At 40.4% G+C, this 18,634-nt stretch overlaps 1 protein-coding gene and 2 non-coding genes across 12 annotated transcripts in view, besides 1 other annotated feature; 1 reads left to right on the plus strand and 2 right to left on the minus strand.

Moving 5' to 3' along the window:
• AMBRA1 (autophagy and beclin 1 regulator 1) overlaps positions 1-18,634 on the minus strand; it is a 197,612-nt gene that overhangs the window by 47,465 nt on the left and 131,513 nt on the right. The window lies entirely within an intron of this gene.
• Positions 2,185-2,686: an enhancer, noted in NCBI's record as "NANOG hESC enhancer chr11:46467611-46468112 (GRCh37/hg19 assembly coordinates)". NCBI's record gives its function as "activates a minimal SCP1, AML or CMV promoter by ChIP-STARR-seq in naive H9 embryonic stem cells {active_cell/tissue: H9 hESC(naive)}" and the evidence as "EXISTENCE:reporter gene assay evidence [ECO:0000049][PMID:30033119]".
• MIR3160-1 (microRNA 3160-1) lies at positions 7,929-8,013 on the minus strand. The gene has a single exon (NR_036117.1). It is a non-coding gene; the product is annotated as a microRNA 3160-1 (primary transcript).
• Positions 7,931-8,011, plus strand: MIR3160-2 (microRNA 3160-2). Its single transcript, NR_036118.1, has one exon. It is a non-coding gene; the product is annotated as a microRNA 3160-2 (primary transcript).

The raw sequence follows: 18,634 nt of genomic DNA on the forward strand, positions 1-18,634 counted from the left end.
ACATACATGGTCTGGTAGGCTCAACATCTAAAAGAGACAGGTGAATTTTCACAAAAATGTGAGAAAAGAAAAATGAAAAATGGGAAGACACCATTAACACAGAAAAGCCAGCAGCATTTCAGTCCCTGGACATCCTGATAGTAAGCAGCACTCTTTCAGACAAAGTATCTCCTCCTTTATCACTTTCTTCCTAATAGGACATCTCAAAAACAGGCTTCCTCCAGGGAAGAGGCAGCTACTATACAGCTGATTGGATAGAAACAGACAGTAAAAAACAAATAAGGTAATATTCATTCATCTCTTCTGGACCCCTGGCACGTAACACAATAAAAATTTATGAGCCTCACTTTGTAGCATCAGAATATTTTTATTAAGGCCATCTTTTATAATACCTACCCCCTAAGAACCTCCTTGAATCCACATTTGCTTGTAACATCTCCAGGTTTAACTTTCTCTGAGATATATTCTTCTGTATGACATTTTTTTCCTTGGTAACCAATTAAATAAAAAATGGATTTTTTTAACAGGGTGACACTTTAATTTGCAGTTGTATTTCATTTACATGAACATGTCATTTCCTCCTCCTCCTTCTGAGGTGCATTTCATACACAACCACCCTCCTTCTGATCAGACAGAGTCAAACCCTGTTGGAAGAATAGAACATTCTTGTATGCTAGCTAACCTAAATGGTATTCTCAGCTGTAAATCAAAGGCTACTGTGAAAAACTGAACTTGTTAGAGTTTACCAGCCTTGGAAAAATGGACAATTTCATACCCAGATTCTTCAGTATCACCTAGTCTTCCTCCTCTGCACATCACTGCAAAAGCATCTTGTGAACTGTAGTTTTTTTCTTTTAGAGAGCGGCATTTATTGCACTGCTACTCCTGGTGTCCCTTTCTTTCCCCAAATGATCAAGAGATGGTTCAAAGAGAAAACCTTCATAGAAGCCAAGAAATATGAGAAAAGTACTCTCTGCACTCTTCCGGTTGCTGCTGGCCACTGTGTCAGAAGACTGTTTTTCAGCATTAATTTATTGACAGTCTTGTCTTTGTCTCATTTTCAATTTGTAAGGAAAAGTACAAATAACAGTTCATTTCCAAAATGATGATACTTCTAGATCATGCATTCTCAACATGGGAAATATCATCCCCATGGGGGTAAAAATTGGTTCAAAGGGGCAAAAAAAAGAAAAACAAAAAAAAAAAAACAAAAAAAAACTTAGTGTAATCATTTGTTCCCCTCCAAAGCATCAGAGTATATAAATAGATACACATTGTATCTGTGATATTAAAATTTCATGGGAGGAGAGACAAGTAGGGAAAAAATGTCTAAAAAGGTTCCTCAGGAGGACAATAATGGAATAAAGGCTAAAACAAACCGTTCTAGATAAATGAATACCCACAAAACAAGACATCCTTTAAAATCTTGCAAATTCAAAGACATAAGCCCAGTCATGCTCTCCCTGAGACCTGAGAATGACAGCATTTGGGGGTGTGCTGTCAGTGAGTCCACTGACCTCAAATCTCTATTTGAGGTCCCTGTGGCGTATCATAAGATGAGGTAAATATATACCCTTGCTTTAACCTTCACAGAAAATTCCCCTTTAATAATTATATCTGACTTTTGCTGAACCTCTGGGTCATGAGGAGGGTAAGATACCTGAACGACTTTATTAAAAGGAACTTTCTTGATTTTTCTATGCCTCTTTGATAATGAAAATCATTCTTTAGTTACAAGGTCTACCACTTCCCTGGAAGGAATTATTCCATTTCATTCTGATCCAGGCTCAGTTCCACTGAGTTTCCGAATTGTTTCCTGGGCTTGCTTATCAAGATGGTTGACACCCTCCTTTGACCACTAGTCTCTCAAATTAATTTAGCTCCTTATCATTTTCTCCAGCTTTTAACAACCCCAAATGATAGAAGGTAAGTTGATTTTCTCAGTACATGATGAACAAAATGCTAGTTGCTAAGAGAGGGTAGAAAATAAATTGAAAAAACAAACTTCATATTTTAAGAGCTTATTCTGGGGGAAGGGATAAGAACTACAAACAGGAAAACAGTTAAGGAATAATACCAGATGCTTTTTGAGTACTGTGGATCTGCAAATGGGAACACAAATGATTAAGACTCCCAAATCCCGGCTCCAGAGGCATCCTGTACTGTCCATGTCTCAAGAAACATCTTCTGGAGAACAGCTGTGCCATAAAATCAACATGTAGGGTTGCCACTGTGTGGAAGAGACTGGGGAGGTGCTCTCTGCCAATGGTGCCAGGGTGCTGAGGAGGAATGAAGCCTGGCACCAAGGAGAGTCATTTTTTTTGTGTCATATAAACACAGATTAGGGAGCTAAAGATGCCAGCAACAGATTAGAGTACTGTTACCAGGTTCTTTTCTTCAAGAACTGTAGGCCAACTGAGCCTGTCTCTTGGAAACAACAGGAGGAAAAAGCCTGATGTTATTAAAACAACCCCAACCATTTAGTAGGCCTCTGGCCACTAAGATGAAGGCAGGAAATGTGCCAGAGGGGGTTAATGGACTGAGCTAGAAAGTATTTACATACGAGGCACTTAGCCTCAGAAACCAAATCCTGAGAGACTGCTAAGGGATTTCTAAGGTTTCAAGGTTCTCCCATGTAGTAATGACAGAATGGAACAAGCTAGACTCAGAGTTTCTCAACCTCTGCACTACTGAAATTTTAGGACAGATAATTATTTGTGTGAAGAGTCTTGTGCATCGCAGAACATTTAGCATCCCTGGCCTCTACCCACTAGATGCCAGTAGCACCCCACTCCACATAGTTGAGACAACCAAAAATGTCTCCAGACACTGCCGAATGTCCTCTGGGGATAAAAATCATTCCTAGTTGAGAAATGCTAAGCTAGATAAACATATCCTACATTTTAACTCCAGGGTAGGTGCTCTTAGCACCACTACTAGAATGTCTGCTGCTAACAAGTGATGCTGTTATAGTCATGGAAAGAAACTAATCCAAGGCACAGCATTACAACTTCAATTTTCCATATCTGCCAATGGGATCTTACGGCTTGTTTTTTGTTTGTTTTGAGAATACAGGTTTCAGAATCAACTGGACCAGATTTTGACACTTCCTGTCATTATCTACTATAGTGTGACTTTGTATAAATTAATCTCTCTGAACCTCAGTTTCCTTATCTGTAGAAAAGGGTATAATAGTACCTACAACTTACAGGATTGTTGGAAGAACTTACTAAGACAATAAATACAAAGTGGTCGGGCATGGTGGCTCACGCCCATAACCCCAGCACTTTGGGAGGCCAAGGTGGGCAGATCACTTGAGCCCAGGAATTTGTAACCAGCCTGGACAGAGTGAGACTCTTATCGCAAAAAAAAAAAAGGCCACGCGCAGTAGCTCACACCTGTAATCCCAGCACTTTGTGAGGCCAAGGCAGGAGGATCACTTGAGGTCAGGAGTTCGAGACCAGCGTGACCAACATGGTGAAACCCTACCTCTACTAAAAATACAAAAATTAGCCAGGCATAGTGGTGTGTGCCTGTAGTCTCAGTTACTTGGGATGCTGAGGCATGAGAATTGCTTGAACCCAGGAGGAGGAGGTTGCAATGAGATGAGATCGCACCACCACACTGCAGCCTGGGCAACAGAGCAAGATTCTGTCTCAAAAAACCCAAAAACACAAAACACAAAAATTAGCCAGGTGTGGTGGCGTGTACCTGTAGTCCCAGCTACCCAGGAGACTGAGGTGGGATAGCTTGAGTCTGGAAGGTGGAGGTTGCGGTGAGCTGAGACTGCACCACTGCACTACAGCCTGGGTTACAGAGCCAGACCATCTTGTAGATAGATAGATAGATAGATAGATAGATAGATAGATAGATAGATAGATAGATAGATAGATAGATAGATAGTGATGGCAAATACTAAGTGCATAATAAATGGCCTTTAAAATTATGTCTGTCATCTACTCCACTCTCTGTGTGTATTGCATCTACAGTTACAGCCTGGGTGACACAGCCAGACCATCTTGTAAATAAATACATAAATAAATAGTGATGGCAAATACTAAGTGTCTAATAAATGGCCTTTAAAGTTATATCTGTCATCTACTCCAATCTCTGTGTGTATTTCATCTACAGTTACACTACTACTTACATCAGCATCAACAGACAGCTTATAGAGAGATGTCCTTGTGTAAGAGACTGGCCCAAATAGTGTGCCAGGGCCAAGAGAGAGAAGTGTTTAATCTGAAGATTAAAATAAACTGTCTAGGCCCTATACTATTTGGCAACTTTCTCCTTGAAAACAGCCCAGGCCAAGACAGACCACCTTCTGGGCCACAAAACACAATGTAACAAATACAAAAGAAAAGGAATAATACATATTACACTTGCAGACTACAAGAGAACTAAACTAGAAATCCGTAATAAAAAGATAACTGGAAAATCCTATAAAACTGACAGATTAAACAATACATTTCTGAACAACACATGGCTCAAAGAATATGTCTCAAGAGAGATTTAAAAATATTTTGGATTAAATGTAAATGAAAATGAAAACATGACTTCTCAAAATTCGTGAAATGTAGTGAAAGCAGTGCTTAGAGGGAAATTTATAGCATTGAATGCATGTATAAGAAAAGACGAAAGATCTAAAATCTGTAATTTAAGCACCTACCATAAGAAAGAAGAAAAAGAGCAAATTAAACCCAAAGTAAGCAGAAGAAAAACATGAGCAGAAACCAATGAAACTGAAAACAGGAAATCACCTATAGAGAAAAATCAATAAAACCAAAAACTTTGAAAGATCAATAAACAATAAACATCTAGGTAGGCCAACTACGAAAAAAGAGAGAAGATACAAATTACTAATACCAGAAAAGAAAGGGGGGCCATCACTACTGATCCCATGGACACCAAAAGGACAATAAGGGAATACTATGAACAACCGTATGCCTACAAATTTGAAAACCTACATGCAATGGACTAACTTTCCTTGAAAGACACAGTATATTACAATTTACACAAGAGACAAATAATCTAAATAGGCCTATATCTATTAAATTGAAGCAATCATTAATAATCTCCTAAAACAGAAAGAACTGGGCCCAGATGGTTTCACTAAATTCTACCAAACATTTAAGGAAGAAATTGTACCAGTTCTCTAACGTCTCTTCCAGAAAATAGAAATATGAAATACCTGCAACTAACATCATACTCAATGGTGAGGAACTAGATACTTTCCCCCTAAGACCAGGAACAAGGCAAGGAAGCCCCTTCTTACCAATACTTTTCAACATCATATTGGAAGTCCTAGCTAATGCAATCAGAAACCACCCCCCACCGCAAAACAAAGTAAATAAAAGGTATACAGATTGGAAGAAATCTGTTTGTTGCCAGATGACATCACTGTCTAATCCCAAAGAATCAACAAAAAAACTCCAGTAACTATTAAATAATTATAGCAAGGTTTCAAGATACAAGGTCAACTGCTTTCCTATATTGCAGCAATGAACAAATGAATGACTGGAACTTGAAATTAAAAATACACCACCACTTACATTAGCATCAAAAAAATAAACTTAGGTATAAATCTAACAAAATATGTACAAGGTCTATAGGAGGAAAGCTACAAAACTGATGAAAGACATCACAAAGGATAAAACTAAATTAGCGAGATATTCCATGTTCATGAATAGGAAGGCTCAGTACTGTTACAATGTCAATTCTTCTCAGCTGGATCTACAGATTCAACACAATCCCAATCAAAATCCTGAATTATTTTGTGAATATTAACAATCTGATTCTAAAGTTTATATGAAAGGGCAAAAGACCCAGAATAGCCAACACAATATGGAAGGAAAACACAAAATTGGAGGATTGACACAACCCAACTTCAAGACTTAATATAGGCCGGGCGCAGTGGCTCACGCCTGTAATCCCAGCACTTTGGGAGGCCAAGGCAGGTGGATCATGAGGTCAGGAGTTTAAGACCAGCCTGACCAACATAGTGAAATCCCATCTCTACTAAAAATACAAAAATTAGCGGGGCGTGGTGGCGCATATCTGTAATCCCAGCTATTCAGGAGGCTGAAGCAGGAGAATCGCTTGAACACAGTAGGTGGAGCTTGCAGTGAGTCGAGATCACGCCACTGCACTCCAGCCTGGGCAACAGAGCGAGACTGTCTCAAAAAAAAAAAAAAAAACAACTAATGTCCACACAAACACCTACACATGGATATTTATAGCAGCTTTATTTATTTATTCATAATTGTCAAAACTTGGAAGCAACCAAGATGTTCTTCATTTAAGAGATGAATGGATAAACTGTGGCACATCCATACAATGGAATATTATTCATGCTAAAAGAAATGAGCTATCAATCCACAAAAAGACATGGAGGAACCTTAAGTGCATGTTACTAAATGAAAGAAGTCAAAGGCTACATACTATAGGATTCCAACTGTATGAGATTCTGGAAAAGGAAAAGTTATAGAGACAGAAAAATGATGGGTAGTTGGTAGGGGTTGGTTTGCAGGGAGGCAGAGACGAACAGGTGAGCACAAGATTTTTTTTTTTTTTCTTTTCTTGAGAGAGGGTCTCACTCCATTGCCCAGGCTGGAGTGCAGTGGTGCAATCACGGCTCACGGAAGCCTCAATTTTCTGGGCTCAGATGATCCTCCCACCTCAGCCTCCCGAGTAGCTGGGGCTACAGGTGTGTGCCACCATGACCAGCTGATTTTTTTTGTATTTTTTGTAGAGATGGGGTTTCACCATGTTGCCCAGCCTTGTCTCCAACTCCTGAACTCAAGAGATCCACCTGCCTTGGCCTCCCAAAGTGTTGGGATTATAGGCATGAGCCACCATGTACAGCCACAAGGAGATTTTTTAAGCAGTAAAGTTATTTTCTATGTTACTACAATGTTGGATACATGGCACATACATTTGCCAAAACCAGTGAAATTTACAACACCAAGCATGAACCCTAATGTAAACGCATACTTTGAGTGATAATGATGTGTCTACGTTGGTTCATCAGCTGCAGCAAATGTACCACACTGGTGTGGACAGTGGGGAAGCCTGTGGGTGTAAGGGGAGGGAGTATATGGGAACTGTCTGTATTTTCCACTCAACTTTTAATAAACCTAAAAAAGAGGGAGGGGCCACGACTTTCATTCACATTCTAGGAGACAGTGGGAACAGCAGCTGTTCATAAGGACAATACTAGTCATGGTAGTTCATATCTATCATATAACCACAGAAATTCCTTTCATTGAGGCTTAGAGCAAAAGAAGAAATAAAGATTATTCTGATGACAGACAAAACAAGGAGGAAAAGAAGCTTAAATCCAGTGATCCTGGCTAACTATCAGCCAACAACAATGGCAAAAACTAAGCTGCCAAGTCTCATTCCAGAGTCAGGTCTTCAACTTGTAGGCCAGAGCTCCCAGAATGTGTCTAGGGATAAAATCATAATAATCATCACAGTCACATGATAGGTGAGCTCTGCCAAGCCTAATAGCCTCTGTGCATCTCTCTACCTTTGCTTCTCTCAGAAACTCTTCTCTTCTGTTGCTTGGAAAGAATTAGGAATCTTTTTTCAAAACAGCTTCACAGCTTCTCTCTAAGATTTGTTCTAGGAGAAGGGAAATGAAAAGTATGATTCAACAGTTCAGTGAAGATACTGAACAATGGGAATCATTAGCAAATCTATCAGAAAAGCTAATTCGGGGAAGGTAAAAAAGGGCAAGTTGCAAAGAAGGAAATGATTAAATTACATTTCAGTCCTGAAAAATCTGTTTAACTTGAGACTTTCTAATTCAGAATGGCCATCTCTGACTGTGTGCTGCTGGGAAGATGAAATAAGAATGGGGTTGGGGATGTAAACACTCATCATCCTGGAGACACAATTACTATCTTTCTGCTTGGCTGTTATATGAACCTGCCCTGGGCTTTCTAGTCTCAGCTCTCCTGACCAGCTGAGCTGGAGGAGAGCTGAGACTAGAAAGCCCAGGGCAGGTCCAACTGAAAAACTTATCAACTTTTCAAACAGATTGACAGTTGCTTTGGGCTGGAGGGATGTGAGAGAGGGAAAGGGGAAGTGACTGCTGATGTGTATGGGGTTTTTTAGGAGGTGATAAAGATGATATGAAATATCTAGATAGAGGTGATGACTGCACAACTCTATATACTAAAAGCCATTGAAATGTATACTTTAAATAGGTGGCCTGTATGGTAGGTGAATCATATCTCAATAATGCTGTTATTAAGAAAACACTATTCAAATAAATGTCTATCAATTTGTGAAGTAAAAAATGGTAATCCTATTTTTTGGATCCATTTCATTTCCTTAATAATTAAGAGTATTGGTGAACATCTTTTCATTTGTTTACCAGCTCACTGTGTATCTTTTAGATGGTCTACTAGTGTCTTATGTACATTTTAAAAACCTTTGTTATTTTAAGGTTTTTTGTTGTTGTTGTTGTTGTTGTTTGTTTTTTAGATGGGGCCTCACTATGTTGCCCGGCTTGCCTTGAACTCCTGGCCCTTAAGTGATCCTCCTGCCTCAGACTTCCCAGTAACTAGGACAACAGGCACATGCTACCCTACCTAGCTTTGGTTACTTTAACTTTTCTCTTATGGATTATCTGAGCTCTCTGTAAATAAATACACTGGCTTCTGTTTACAAAAAATAATTCTCAGAGCAAGGGAACCATCTTCCCTTTCTGAGTATATCTGCATGGCATCCTAGGAAGAACACTTAATCTTCTTTCCAGAAAGCTTCATTCAAATGCAGTCTTAAAATCTGTCCTAAGAAAGGGGTATAACTAAGTACTCAGTCACACTCACTCTAATCATCATTTAATCTAATCTGAAATCACAGTCAATGTATCCTATAGCCTGGTACCTGGAAAAAGTCCCTGATGACAAATAAGAAGACTTCTTCCATGCTTAGAAGTGTCCCAAGTTTCTCTGAGTTCTCATTTATGATTCTGACATTGAGAAAAATGCCCAAATATATATGTGTGTCTGTCTGTTTAAAATTATAGCTTTACTGAGATATAACTTACAATTCACCTATTTTAAAGTATACAATTCAAGGTTATTAGCATATCCGCACAGTTATGTAACCATCAGCAAATAAATTTTACAACCACCATCATTACTGTCTAATTTCAGGCATTTTCATCTCCCCTAAATACCGTACCCATTAACAGTCACTCCCTTTTACTCTGTCCCACTCCTGCCCTAGCCCTAGGCAATCACTAATTGCTTCTCCTGGACATTTCATGTAATGAAATCATATGGTAGGTGGCCTTCTGTGTCTGGCTTCTTTCACTCAGCATAACATTTTCAAAGTTTATCCACGCTTATTGCATGTTTCAGTACTTCACTTTTTTTTTTTTCTTCCCCAAAGAGACAAGGTCTCATTCTATCACCCAGGCTGGAATGTAGTGGTGCAATCACAGCTCACTGCAGCCTTGAACTACTGGGCTCAAGCAATCCACCCACCTCAGCATCCCTAGTAGCTGGGATTACAGGCACGAGCCACTCTGCCTGGCTTCATTCCTTTTTATGACTGAATAATATTCTATCATATGTTTATAACTGAACCATAGGTTCATATGAGAATTAAATAGTAGTTTTTATTTTATAGAAAATATACTGTGTGGAAAACCAGCAATCATAAAAGGACTTAAGATAAATAGAATTATTTCCATTGTAAAGAAAAAGTAGGGCTTCAAAGACTAATTCTGAGTGTATTATCTATAGCTGAAATAGAGTCTTCACTGTTTCCTGAGGCTAAAAGATATGAAGAGTATTAGGGAACGTCATTTTCTGCAAACCACAAAAATAAAATCCCAAAAAAGCACCACGTGGCTGTCTATAATTCTGGCATAGGAAATGTTCTGAGTAAGGCACTTGGTCTATCATGTTTAGGCAGTTTAATAACTACTCTACCAGTCATTTAATCTGATGCTGAGATTAATCATTAAACAAGTTTGCAATATATTTAACATGAATTAAAGGGTAAATATTTTCTAAATACAGACTTCAATGGTTACGTGTCTTATTTGTAGGAATTAGGCCCCCAAATAAACATAATTTTATTGTCCAATAAACTCCTAAAGGCTCCAAAGAAGGATAATATTAGTCCACATGCAAATCATGAACTTTAGGGGCAGACCTGAGAAAGACTCTACTGAGGCCAAAGGCACTGGATCAGGCCAATATAGCAATGATAGTCTGAGAGTTCAACAAGAAAAGTAGCAAGGCCTGGAATACAGTGTATGAGGAAAGGAAAAGAAATAGCTATGAAATTTTTTTTTAATTTTTAATTTTTAGAGACGGGGTCTTGCTGTGTTGCCCTAGCTGATCTCAAACTCCTGGGCTCAAGTGATCCTCCTACCTTGGCCTCTCAAAGTGCTGAGATTACAGGCGTGAGCCATCATGCCTGGCAAACTGTGAAATATTCCTATGTATCACAGCTTCATAAAAAAATTTTCTCAAAACAACAATTCAAACCAGGATTACATGGCCACAGCACAGTAAGGTTTATAACAGGTCAAAAAAGAAAGAGAAATTGGCCAGGTGCGGTGGCTCACGCCTGTAATCCCAGCACTTTGGGAGGCCAAGGCAGGTGGATCACGAGGTCAGGAGATCGAGACCATCCTGGCTAACACGGTGAAACCCCATCTCCACTAAAAATACAAAAAAAAAAAAAAAAAAAAAATTCTCCGGGCGAGGTGGCGGGCGCCTGCAGTCCCAGCTACTTGGGAGGCTGAGGCAGGAGAATGGTGTGAGCCCGGAAGGCGGAGCTTGCAGCGAGCCGAGATCACGCCACTGCACTCCAGCCTGGGTGACAGAGCGAGACTCCATCTCAAAAAAATAAAAATAAAAAAAGAAAGAAAGAGAAATTAACCTGATATTCATTAAAGACACAGCAGTAGATAGAGCCTTCTTATCTGGAATAAGTAGTAAGTGAACAAGGAATCTGGTATTAGCTTTTTTTTTTTTTTTTTTGAGATGGAGATGGGTTCTTGCTGTGATGCCCAGGTTGGAGTGCAGTGGCATGACCACATCTTACTGCAGCCTCAACCTTCTGGGCTCAAGTGATTCTCCTAACTGAGCCTCCCAAGTAGCTGGGACCACAGGTGTACGCCACCCCACACCCAGCTAATTAAAAAAAAATTTGTTTTTGTAGATATGGGATCTCAGTATTTACCCAGGCTGGTCTTAAACTTCTGGCCTCAAATGATTCTCCTGCCTTGGCCTCCCAAATTGCTGGGATTATGGGCATAAGCCACTGCACCCAGCATAGGTTTTCTTTTTCTTTTTTTTTAATTGTGCTAAAAAGAATACAACATAAAAGTTTACCATCTTAACCATATTTAAGTGTACAGTTCAGTAGAACTGTATGTATGTAACAAATCTCAAGCTCTACTCATTAAACAATTCCTCTTTCCCTCTCTCCCCAGTCCCTGGTCACCACCATTCTACTTTCTATGAATTTGACTACTTTAGTTAGCCTCATATAAGCAGAATCATTTACTATTGGTATCTTTTAACATGCTTTGAAAGAGGAGATGCATAACTAGGTAGCGTGCACACAAAGACATTCACAGACATGGCATAAAATCAGAATAATATTCAACTCTACAGGAAAGTAGTAAGGTCTGATGGGAGAATATAACCTCTTGATCTGTCATGGCCAGAATGAAAATGGAGACTCCCTTAAAAAGCCAGTCAAATAACTCAAACAGAGGATAGGGCTCATGCCATCCGGCCTGGTGAGCCTCAGAAAGCATACAGCTTCCATAAGAATACTTTGCTCCCTAATTCAGTAATAATCCCCAATGATTCAATCACATTGCCTTGAACGCACCAGTGCCATCCAGAGTTCAGCAATGAGTTACCACCCCAAAGAAAGTAAGTAAGTTGCTCTTTACTAGGTCATCCTTCCTTCCTCCCATGACACTGAAACCCAGGATTAATCTGGGCTGTTTACAGGGTGGCTGGTGGCTCCTGGATCCCTGAAGTCAAGCTGAGATGCTCCTGTGTGGGTAGAGAAAGAGGGTGAGGCCTGTTTTTATCACCATGCTATAGACTTGCCCTCCCTCCTTCAATACATATGTCCTAATGAAGCAATTACCTGCACTTACACTAATGATGTAATTGGGACAAGTAATTATGAAAGCAGAACATCCATTTTCAAAGAAATGAGTATCATTACCTTTATTCCACCCACAAACATTATTTAAGACAAAAACAAATAAGCTCACAAGAACACATGCTACTGAAAGATTACTAGGAACAGTATTCCAAAAAACGTAGTGTTAAGGAAAAATGGGGGAAAAAAAAACCCCAAACACAAACATCTAGCATTCGCTCCCACCAGGCAGGGATTTCCTCAAAGCCTCTACCTCTGACAAAAGACTTGCAGGTGGATAAGAGTATTAAGAATTACTCTACCTCCACTAATACATTCCCCACAACCTGACACTGCCAATACTTAATCCCAGCAACAGAGGACACTGGCTTAGGTGGGTCCCTAGGTGAAGCCAGGAAAACTGTCAGCCTCTCATCATTATGCAATGCAGCTGCTTAAGGGGGTGCCTCAGCAGCATAAGAATGGGCAAAGAGAGGGGTGAAGGTAGGGAAAAGGACTGAGGGAGAAAAAGGTGAGAGAGAAAGAAAAAGAGAGCGACTGACTCAAACACTAAATGGCTCTCACCAATCACTTGTCTTAAATTGCTGAGACTCCCGCAGCTTTTATTGTTTGGTGGAAGCACAAGCGAGTGGAATTGGACCAGAGGGTCTTTGGCTCGTCAGCAGCAGGAGGGAAACGACCTTTATTGCTGCAAAGAGGATGCAGATTTCAAAAGCCTAAAATCTGCAATGAAGGGAAATGGAAATGTGCTGAACGTGGGTTTGACTGGCAGCTTTCCTCATCTGTCGATCACAGGGTAATAAACACTGGGAGATGGCAGAAATGAAGATAAATGCTTTCAGCAGCACCAGTCCCCACCCTCCCCTCCTCTTCCGCCCCCACTCAGCACATGACAAGAGAGTTAAAGCAAGAAAATAAATCAGCTTCTTAACCAACTCTTTTGTTAAAACTTTCCTTACAGGCCACCTACACGTGAATTATTGCTCTATGAGCCTACATTCACATTAGGGGGCCCAGCTTCTAAAGGGTGAAAAGCTCCTGTCAAATCAGCACCTGTACATTTCAGGGTACAGCATTACAGCTGAGTCAGTTGGGGCCAACATGCAAGAAAGAGGACAGGCCTGCTCCCAGCGAAGAAAGGTGAAGAGCTCCCAAGCCTGCTGAACCCTCTAATTCAAAGCCTGCTTCATTCAGGCTAAGGACAGCATGGTGTCAGTCCACTGCAATCACTGCCACATTACCATTACCCAGCGACAGACAGGCTAAGCTCCAAGGGCTAACAAATCCCACAGAACTTGGTGGTCAAAGGTGAGGTTAGATCGGAAAATGGACTCCTAAATACAACACTCAGTCCAACTTCACATTCACCTTGGAAGGGGGGAAAAATTTAACGGTTGACAATCTTGAGGGTGTTCCACAACTAGGTTCAAGGAAAATGTTAATTTTGAGATTTGTGGCATCAAGATAAAGCATCTGGCTGACTTGGTTACTGTAATGGAACTGAGGCTTTTTTGAGTAAGGTCAAAATATTAGTGATTCTTAATGGATTTGGTGGTGACGGTTGCTTATAAGATGGGCTGGGCCAGGCGCAGTGGCTCACGCCTATAATCCCAGCACTTTGGAAGGCCAAGGCAGGCAGATCACCTGAGGTCAGGAGTTCAAGACCAGCCTAATCAACATAGTAAAACCCCGTCTCTACTAAAAATACAAAAAATGAACCAGGTGTGGTGGTGCATGTCTATAATCCCAACTACTTAGAAGGCTGAGGCATGAAAATCACTTGAGCCAAGGAGGGAGGTGGAGGTTGCAGTGAGTCGAGATTGCGCCACTGCACTCCAGCCTGCGTGACAGGGCAAGACTCCGTTGCAAAAAAAAAAAAAAAAAGACATTCCACCCTACTGGCCCAGCCATGCTGTTTTCCTTTAGATTCTAAAATGGAAAAAAGATTTCAGACCCTTGTTCTGAAGTGCAGGAACCCACTAATGGAAAATCAGGAGCAAAAATAAGTGAGAGAGAGCATGGTGAATGGGTCTGTTTCACAGCATAAACTGCTCTGAAACTTGAGAAGTCCCCAGAACCAGGCATATGCTGTGGAATCTGAGGAGAACAGCACTTGTCATAAAAAGATAGCTAATTTGAAATAGCTTCTAATTAAAATCCAGTGTTCAAACATTAACACCAGGAACACAGTGGAAAAGCAATATTAGCAAGCCATATATTGAGACGCTGCTAAAAGGACGCACCTGGAACACAGCCATCCAGATGAGCCTTTTCAGTCTTGAAGCCTGTTTAAAACCCCACCTCCTCCCAGAAGCTTTCCTGAATTAGAGAGAAATCCCTGCCTACACACTATTAGCTGTTTTTCATAACACAAAACTTTGTCATCTGTTAGGTTACCTGACTACAAGTACATAAAGTTTCCTCCGAATTCAAGTGTTTTTGCCTCTGTGTACACTGAGCCATCGATTTTCCATTGGTACTGTGTGATTTTTCCTTCTTCTTGAGATGGTGAACTCCTTGAGAGAAGGGATCAACTTTTCCTTCATATAATATTTTTTAAGTTTTTAATTTTTTAAGAGACAAGATCTTGCTCTGTCGCCCAGGCTGGAGTGCTGTGGCATGATCATTGCTCACTACAGCCTTGAATTCATGGCCTCAAGTGATCCTCCCACTTCAGCCACCTGAGTAGCTGGGACTAAAAGCTTGAGTCACCATGACCAGAACCTCACATTTTAGATACTGTCCAGCCATGGGATTAGAATATTCCCATCCATAAACATGAAATACACAAGGAATGTCACCATTGGCCTTAGAAACTGCTCCTTCTGCAAGTGAGATAACAGGTCCTAGACGGCTTTTACTACCTATGCGTATTAGAGGGACTGGCTGAATTATACAGAACCAAATCATAATTTAAAGGAGTTTTTAGTATGGCATATACATCCAGGAACAGGACAAAGCAACTATATTTTGCAAAAAGAGTTTGTCTTTCATTATAAATAAATTTAAACATCCATCGGGAAGAAAATAGGTGACCAAATTATGTCCAACTACACCATGGAACACCACGCAGCCACTACTAAGAATAAAGCAGATCTAGATACACGGACAGACAGAAATCCTGGATATTCTGTATGATTCCATCCCCACTACAAAATAAAATGATGAAAACTATACAGATGTATAAATATACGTATGTTTTTTATTACACATAGAAAAAAACTTGGAAAGACATGTTACAAACCAATCAAACTTTGGAGAATGGGGTTGGAAGAGTGGGAAGAGAAATTTGAACATTTTACTTTATATATTTTGGTATTACTTGAATTATTTACAGTGAAACTATATTACTTTATAAATTTTAAAAGGGGGTCAGAGACACTGATACTTATATTTATAACAACTTAATAAAAAATTTATATCCTAGATTGGGAAACCGACGCAAGTGGATCACCTGAGGTCAGGAGTTCGAGACCAGCCTGGCCAACATGGTGAAACCCCGTCTCTACTAAAAATACAAAAAGTAGCTGGGCATGGTGGCAGGTGCCTGTAATCCCAGCTACTTGGGAGGCTGAGGCAGGAGAATTGCTCGGACCTGGGAGGTGGAGGTTGCAATGAGCTGAGATCACACCACTGCACTCCAGCCTGGGCAACAGAGCAAGACTCCATCTCCCTCCCAAAAAGAAAAAAAAAATACACATACACACACACACACACACACACACACACACACACACCCTGGAATACCACAGAGAAGTAAAAAATATATACATTTTACTATTTAATCTCCATTGTATTTGACATATACATTTACTTATTCCATGAAGCTAAAGAGTTGAAGGACTTCAGAAAAACTCCTTGGTCTTGGATTTACCAATGAAGTTCAGGAGCCTCAGGTTCCCTCTTTTCACTGAGTGCCGGTCAGAATAATACCCTGAGATGCCTTTCACATGTTTAAGAAGTAAGAGTGTTATAGCTTTAGTAGCCAAAAAATCTGTGCTATATAACTGAAGATGAGCCAGAACAATTTCATCTCTGTGTAAACATCTTAGAGAAGACACCACATGTGTACAGAATTTCAGGGCACATTATAAGAGTGAAAAATCTAGAAAGTTAAATGTTCATCAATCGGGAACAGACAACAAGACATACGAATGACTATTAGAATACTATGTAACAACAGAAATAAATCAATCAAACTATATCAACATGGACTTATAATACTGAATTTTAAAAGTTATATGATGATCCATATGCATACGACCCCATTTATATAAACACAACTCTTTTTTTTTTTTTTTGAGACGGAGTCTCGCTCTGTTGCCCAGGCTGGAGCACAGTGGCGCAATCTTGGCTCACTGCAAGCTCCGCCTCCCGGGTTCCCACCATTCTCCTGCCTCAGTCTCCCAAGTAGCTGGGACTACAGGTGCCCGCCACCATGCCCGGCTAATTTTTTTTGTATTTTTAGTAGAGACAGGGTTTCACCGTGTCAGCCAAGATGGTCTTGATCTCCTGACCTCGTGATCCGCCCACCTCAGCCTCCCAAAGTGCTGGCATTACAGGCGTGAGCCACCGCGTCCAGCATAAACACAACTCTTAAAATACAAAACAATATTTTACTAATATATTAAGCTATAAAAGATAAAGTACAACCATATAAACCAAAGTCATAAGAGCAGATGCCTGTGAAGTGGTAAAGATAATCAAAGGGGTCAAAGGAACTTCAACTTTATTTGAAATGTTTCATTTTCAAAAATCTGTTGGGAGGCCAGGCACGGTGGCTCACATCTGTAATCCCAACACTTTGAGAGGCCAGGGTGGGAAGATCACTGGAGGCCAGGAATGCAAGGCCTGTCTGGGCAACATAGTGAGACCACATCTCAAAAATAAATAAATGAATTAATTAAATAAAAAACAATTAGGGCCAGGAGTGGTGGTGCACACTTATAATCCCAGCACTTTGGGAGGCTGAGGCGGGAGGACCCCTTGAGCTCAGGAGCTCGAGACCAGCCTCAGCAATCTAATGAGACTTTATTGCTACAAAAAATTAAAAAATTAGCCAAGCACGATGGTACACGCCTATAGTCCCAGCTATTTAGGAGGCTGAGGTGGAAGGATCTCTTGAACCTGGAAAGTCAAGGCTGCAGTGAGCTGTGATCCTGCTATTGCACTCCAGCCTGGGTGACAGAGGAAGACCCTGACTGGAAAAATAAAATATAATAAACTTGTTGAGACAAATGGGGCAAAACAACTCAATTTGTTGAGGCAAATAGGGCAAAATGTCAATAACTATTAAATTTTGGTTGTGGAAGCACAAATGCATGTCATATATATGCCTGTATAGATACTACTCTAAAATTTCTGGGCATATGTTTGCAAGTATTTTTAAAATTTCTCACAATAGGAAGGAAGGAAGCAAACGAAAGCAAACAACTGGGAATACAAAGGAAAGAACATTTATGTGCTTTCCCACAATCTTAAGCCTTGACCAACATAGTATGGGGGAGGTCATAATTGGCTAAAGTTAAATACTTGGGGATGTGGAGTCCCACTAAATTCCAGAGGCAGGCAGAAAGTCTACATTCTGTTTATTTGGAATTGCTGACATAAAAGATTATGCCCACAGAAACATGTCCTGAGTCTTGATGAATCAAGTTCATACCATGTAAAGCCTGAGCTACTGCACTGGTGAAACTATTCTGCAGGCAGCTATTGAGTGACATATGGTCACATAAACTTTGTACCCCACAAAGGCAGAGACTCTAAAGCCATGGAATTCCTGAGTTCAAACTAGGAACAATCTGTCTGCACAGATGAAGCATGCAAACACATGCCCAGGCCCAAGCATTTCTCTTCAATGCCATCTTGATGCCATATAACGTCTTACCCTGAAAAGAAGAAAGACTTAATTTTAAGTCTCATACTGCCCCCCACTATCTAGACTCCTTCCTCCCTGCCCTAGTCAATGTTTACTAAAATCCCCTTCATCCTTCATAATTTTAATGTCAGGTTAGATAAATGTCTGAGAAAGGCCTGTGGCAAATTTCTAGCTTTTACAAGAGATATCTGACGAGATTAAAATGTATTTTGGTGTTTCCTTTTCTGTCAGAGCTGCATGCATCTCCCAGAAAACCCTGGACCTGCTATCACAAGTTAGGGATGCGCGTAAACAAGTGAGCACGGCGGTGTAAGCACACACCTTTTTAAGACCAACTCCGTTGCTGGTCATCATAAAGAATACACAAAAACCTGCAAGCTTCTCTATATGCCCCTTGGGGTATGGGAAACCAGGAAATAATCTTGCAGTCAACACTAAGCGCCGGGCCCTTGTCCCATACAAAACCATCTATCTTCCTCTTTACTCTCCTCACGTCTGTCTTCAATGCCAGATTGTTTTTAAAGCAGATTTTTGATTGTCACTTACCTGCTCTAAAGCTTTAGTGGCTCCTCACTGACTACACTGAGGTAGACT

This window comes from Homo sapiens, chromosome 11 (genome assembly GCF_000001405.40).
Source record: "Homo sapiens chromosome 11, GRCh38.p14 Primary Assembly".
Lineage (NCBI taxonomy): Eukaryota > Metazoa > Chordata > Mammalia > Primates > Hominidae > Homo > Homo sapiens.